Below are 6364 nucleotides of genomic sequence, written 5' to 3'. Positions count from 1 at the left end.
GCCAACCTCAAGCTGTCTTTGGATGCTTCCAAAGATAACTTTCTTCTCTTACAGCATTGCTCAATAGATGGTCCCCAGCCTTTACCTGAACACCTTCACTGATGATGAAACTCATCATTTGCAAAAGCATAGGCTTACATTTTCAGACAATTAAATTAGTTCTTTTTTTTGTTTTTGTTTTGCAGACAAGGTATTCCTCTGTCGCCCAATTTGGAGAGCACTGGCATGATCATGTCTTATTGCAGCCTCAACCTCCAGGTCAGGCAGTTCTCCTGCCTCAGCCTCCCAAGTAGCTGGGACCACAGGCACACATCACCACATCTGGCTAATTTTTTTATTAGTATAATTTGTAGAGACAGAGTCTCTCTATGTTGCCCAGGCTGGCCTTGAACTCTTGAGCTCAAGCAATCCTCCCGCCTTGGCCTCTTGGTGTTGGAATTATATATGTGAGACACTGAACTCAGCTACAGTAGTTCTATTTTAAGAATAAAACAATCAGTCCCTTTGCAGCTTCATTCATTGTCCCTTAATCTTATCACCACCATGCAGGACCATTGAACTTCTTGTACTAGTAACAGCCCTTCAAGTGTTTGAGAACAGTGACCTTGGGTATCTTAACCTTCTTCTCCAGGCTCCCCACCCCTAGTGCTATCTACCATTCTCTCTTCTCATGGTTTTGGGAGCCCTCACTGGCCTCCTGCATTTGTCCTCAAAGACTGCCGTCAAGACCCTCATGCCTTACACAGCCTGAGAGCACACACCCCATCCTTTCCTCTGTGGAAAGCAGGAGAATCCCCATCTCTCTGCTGGACATCGTCCTTCTGCAAACCCAGTCTTAGGGCCCTCAATTCCTCCATCCTATCAAGGAAGCTTTACCTGGCTTCTCTGCTCCACACCTATCTGCACAAAGACATTGAGTGTGTGTGTGAAGGGCTCCTGAGAAAGGGCGGTAGTGCAAACTGAGCCCAACTCAAGTCCGCTCCACATTCCTGTTCCCTGGCACCTGGGCTGGGTGTGCCTTAGACAAGGAGTTTTGTGCGTGTGTGTGTGTGTGTGTGTGTGCATGCTCTATTTTTCTGATTCTCATAAGAAGCTGCATTCAGTGTCATCAGCTGTGTCTCCATACCACATCCACATCACTGCGGGCCCCTGCCCACCCTCCCCCCAGGCCTCCCTGCCTGACACTGCCACCTGTTCTCCACTGACCTGCCAGCGAAACTAGAAAGAAAGACAGTCCTCCTCTACCTAAAACCCTCCAGGGGCTTCCCAGAACCCAAGCCAAAGGTAAGTTCCTTGTTATTGCCTGTGACACCCTAAAGGAACTGACCAGCTGGCCTCCCCAAGGGTTCTTGACTATTTCCCCTCCGCCCCCACACCCTCACTCCTGAGACCCCTTAGTCCTGGAATGCACCAGGCTGTTTATCAGCCCAGAGTCTCATTCACTCTTTCTTTCATTCTCTAGTCCTGTGCTTTCCTGGACATGTCTTACTCATTCTTAAATTATCAAGGGTCATTTCCTCAGAAAGGTCTTTCCTGAACCCCCCTCCCTGACTCACTAAACACACACATCTTAACAATAACAGCCAACATTTACTTTTGCAAACAGGCTTAAACATTTCCACAGAAACAAACTAGTTTAATCCTAAATTGTCCAGTGAAGAAACTCAGGCACAGCGATAAGAAACTCACCTGTGTCCACACAGCAAATGTGAGATGGAGTTGGGATTCATGCCCTCTGACTCCAGAGTCCTCACTTCTAATTGCTGCAATATTCACATTCTCATTGTACGTCTTCTTACAGCTCCCTTCTTCTTTCTTTTTATAGTATATATCATAATGTAAAGTAGCTGGGACCTACTATTTACCCATCCATCCATCCATCATTCCAACCATCTATCCAACCATCCACTCACCCATCCATCCTTTTATCTTTCTATCTGACTATTTTCTGACTTATTCCACACACTCTGAGCTCTGTCCAAGGAAGGCTTCTGCTGATTCTTTTACCACTATATACTTGAAGTTGCCACAGTGCCTAGCTCTGTGGAGGCCTCCATAAGTGAGGGCATGTTGCACACTCCAATGAATGAATGGATGCCTAGTACAGTGTTGGGCACAGGATACAAAACGTAGGTTTAGAGAAGGTCCTTCTACTTGAGGAGGTCACAGAGTTCTGGGAAAGTGCTCCACCTTGCAGCATGGTGGCAGTTAGCCTACTGTGGGAGTCAGTGGGAGCCTTGTATCTGATGGGGTCATCTGGAGGACTTCCCAAGGAGGAGACCCCTTCCCAGTTGAGCTATGTCAGCCAGCCCACACCGCTGGCTGATAATGACTAAAGCACCCCAGTATTTTTGTGCATCTGTCTGGGAAAGGACAAGTGACTTGCATTCTGCATTGGAAGGGCTGTCATGTGTATAAGGGAGCTGATGTGCACTGTGTGGCCCCAGGAGACAGAAACCTCAGATTCCAGCTTGGTGGAAGCTCCAGTGAATCCAAGGAGAACAGCAGTAAGAGATACTCTATTATGAATGGGGACTCCCTGTCCCTGGGAGTGTTCAGGAGAAGGCAGGTGTCCTTTGTCAGAGTCGCTGACTGGGGTACCAGGGAGGAGGTGATGGCCAGGACTTCCCTCCAACTTCCCACAACTTCTGTTCCTCTGTGCTTTACAGAGGGTTTACAGAAAGTCACGGACAGTATCCAACACTGTCTTTGCACATAGCTATTAAAAGAGGGATAAGTCTTTTATGTGGGAGGCATCAAATGCCCAAGGGGTCCAGTGTGTTTGGGGAAATAGAGTCTACCTTTCCTAAAGTCGCTATAAAGTAGACCCACCATAGAGAACCCAGCATGATCTACCTATTTCCTGTCCTCAAGGGAGTAAGAGACCTTTTGACACATTTAAAAGTTGACATGGCATTTTTTGGGTATAATCTATCTATCTATCTATCTATCTATCTATCTATCTATCTATCTATCTATTTATCTACCTATCTATCTATCATTTAGAAGATACCAGAAAACAAAATGCCAGAAATAAAATTATCCATAATTCTCTCACCTTGAGATCAGCTCTATGCACATTTTTTGTGTATTTTATTCTGGTCTTATTTTCTATTGCCATATATGCCTATTTTATTGTGATCCTGCTTTTTCTCCTCCAAAACACTGTGAACATGTTCCACATCATTAAGTGGCCTTCTAAAACATTATTTTTAATAGCTGCTTAGTATTCCATTTTACAGCTGCTCCATAAAGCAGTTAACCCCTCAAGTACTGGTGGGTATTTGTGTTTCCAGAATTTCAGCAGCTTATATATAGATATTTTTATACATATAATTATTTCTTTAAAAAACATCCCTAGATTTCAACTTGCAGAGTCAAAAGGAAAGTCTGTCTATAAAATGTTTGATATGTGTTACCCAGTTGTCCTCAGGAAAAATAGTACCAGTTCACAGTCCTGCCAGCAGCATTGGAGGGGCCTTACTTAAGGTGACACTTGGAAACTTTTGCTGAGAGGGAGGGAGCTCATCTCTATTGCCCTGTGACCAGGACGGCTGCATTCACACAGGGATTCTCTGAGCTTCCAGACACCAATGCTCTGAAGAAAATGCCAAGACTTGGTGGCAGAAGGTCTGGGATCAAGTTGCAGTTCTGCTGCCTCCGAAGCCACTCCACACCATCATCCAGAAATGACCATAAAGTCCAGTCAAGACCTTCACAGGCAACAAATAAAAGGCTTGCTCTTCCCAGTAGGACTTTGAACATGGAAGATGGTCAAAAAGAGACTTCCTGCCTCCAGGGGGCCACAGGGGGCCAATGGTAAACGATGAGTGAATCAAACAGGTGGAATTGACTAGAAGTGAGGTGAAAACACGAGAGTCCAACTGCCTGGGCTTGTACCCGGGGCCAACCTGTAGCAGATGAGGCCCTGGGCCTGGTGCCTAGCCTTCCTGGGATCTGTTTCCTCATCTGTAAAATGGGGCTACAATAGGGATTAAATTAGTATCTTTAAAGTCTCCAGCATAGTTCCTAGTGTATAATAAGCACAGCACATGACAAGTCACCTTGTCATGGAAGTATCATTATCCTTAGGAAGAAATTAAAAGATAGGTTCAAAGAGGTTAAATATCATGACCCAAGACACAGAACTAGTGACAAAAAATGAGCTGAAATTCAGTCAAAGGTCAATCTGATTTCTCTGTTACTGAGGAGAAGGGAAAGGATTCCTGAAAACCGTATCCCGAAATTTGGGTCCGTCAAAACATAGTAATTTTAAAATACATATTATTATTAACTATAGCCACCGTGCTATGCCATAGATCACCAAAATTTACTCCTGTTAACTAAACTTTGTACTTTTCAACTAACCCGTACCCTACCCCTGCCCTCCAGCCTCTGGTAACCATCATCTACTCTCTACTTCTATAAGCCTGACTTTTTTTTAGATGCCACATATAAGTGAGATCACGAGGTATTTGTCTTTCTGCACCTGGAGTATCTCACTTAGCATAAGCTCATCTAGATTTTAAATGATAAGTATGTGAGGCGATGAGTATGTCAGCTAGTCAGATTTAGTAATTTTACAACGTACACATTTATAATAACATCACATTGTACTCCATAAATATATTGTACCTATAATGATCATGTGTCAATTAAAAATAAAATAAAAATAAAGAAAAAAGAGTCATTTCAGTGAAAGCAATGCTGGGTTGCTATGTCGTTGGTGGACATTGGTGTCCACAGACAGATGAAAGGGTAAACAGTTTATCCATACAATGAAATATTACTCAGCCTGTAAAAAAAGGAAATTTCAGGCCGGGCACAGTGGCTCACGCCTGTAATCCCAGCACTTTGGGAGGCCAAGGCGGGCGGATCACAAGGTCAGGAGATCAAGACCATCCTGGCTAACACGGTGAAATCCTGTCTCTACTAAAAATACAAAAAAATTAGCCGGGCGTAGTGGCGGGCGCCTGTAGTCCCAGCTACTCCGGAGACTGAGGTAGGAGAATGGCGTGAACCCGGGAGGCGGAGCTAGCAGTGAGCCTAGATTGCACCACTGCACTCCAGCCTGGGCGACAGAGCAAGACTCCATATCAGAAAAAAAAAAAAAAAAAAAAAAAGGAAGTTTCAGCACACACTACAATGTTCATTGAGTTCTGCCTTGTACGAGGCACCCACACCTGGGGCTAGAGGGAAGGGGCTGGAGGTATAAATTCCAATAGAGTGGTCTCTGTTGTTGGGAATTCATATTTGCCAGGACATGGGTTATCACACAAAGAAAGTCATGGCAGAGAGGGATGCGGTTGTAGCATCATGAAACAAATGCAGCGGAGCACAATGGGGAGAAGATTCTGTTTAGAAGCGCTCTGGACACCTTTGAGAAAAAGCTAGCTTTGAGAGTCCCTTAAACTTTTGAGGATATGTTTTTGACAAGTCATGGAGCAGCCCAAAGGGGAATCCAGCCTAGGATAGGGCAACAGCCTTGGCAAAGGTTTGGAGGTGGGAGGGGAGGCAGAGCCTGCTCCTTAACAGCTCGGGTTCTCTTAGTGAGAGCTGGGATGGATGAGCCTGCACAGTGGCCTCAAACCGCCGCTTTGGGTCCCCACACAAGATGCTGCCTGTGGGCCCTGAGAAGCTGGTGCAGGAGGCTGTGGGAGGAGGTTGGGGTCTGGAATGAAAGACTGCCACGTTAGAGATACACAGAAGGCAGAGAACAAAGAGAGAGACGCTTGAAGCCAAGCAAAGATAAAACAGCTGATAGAAGACAAAGCCCTAGAAAGGCAGTATTGGGGCCTCTTCACCATGCAGCAGGACTGACAGGTGGGCATCAAAGGCGGACGAGGCAGGCTGCAGAGTGGCTCAGGTGCTAGGCAGCTCGGGGCGCGGGGCTTTGTTCAGTCTGACTGAGCAGTCAGTCTGCTTATACTGAAAATGCACTATGCTAAGCAGAAGGCAGTCCTATATTTAGATTTTTCTTTTAATCTTGAAAGAGAAGAAAACAGTAACAAAGGACTTCCTTGTCAAATCCTAATGCAAGTTGAACTTCTAAAGACTTGGAGGAGGTGTTCATGACACCAAAGATTTTACAAGCACTGACACAGAAAACTGAAGTAGGGGGGAAAAAAAGAGGCTTCTCCCCTTTGTGTTTTTGCTTGCCACCAGAGCCATGAGATATCAGCTCAGTCTCATGGGGAGTTTTTGTGTTTAAAATTTTGCACAATATTCGCAGCTGCATTTGATCCTATGGTGCACTCCAGGGTGGGGGTTGAAAGGTCTTTCCTTTCACAGGTCTGAGCCTTGGAGAGGTCCAGGGTGTTCCTCAGGGTTAATCAGCTACTGAGTGGTAGACTCAGACATGAAG

This window comes from Homo sapiens, chromosome 14 (genome assembly GCF_000001405.40).
Source record: "Homo sapiens chromosome 14, GRCh38.p14 Primary Assembly".
Taxonomy (NCBI): Eukaryota; Metazoa; Chordata; class Mammalia; order Primates; family Hominidae; genus Homo; species Homo sapiens.
Note: the sequence above shows the minus strand (reverse complement) of the source record.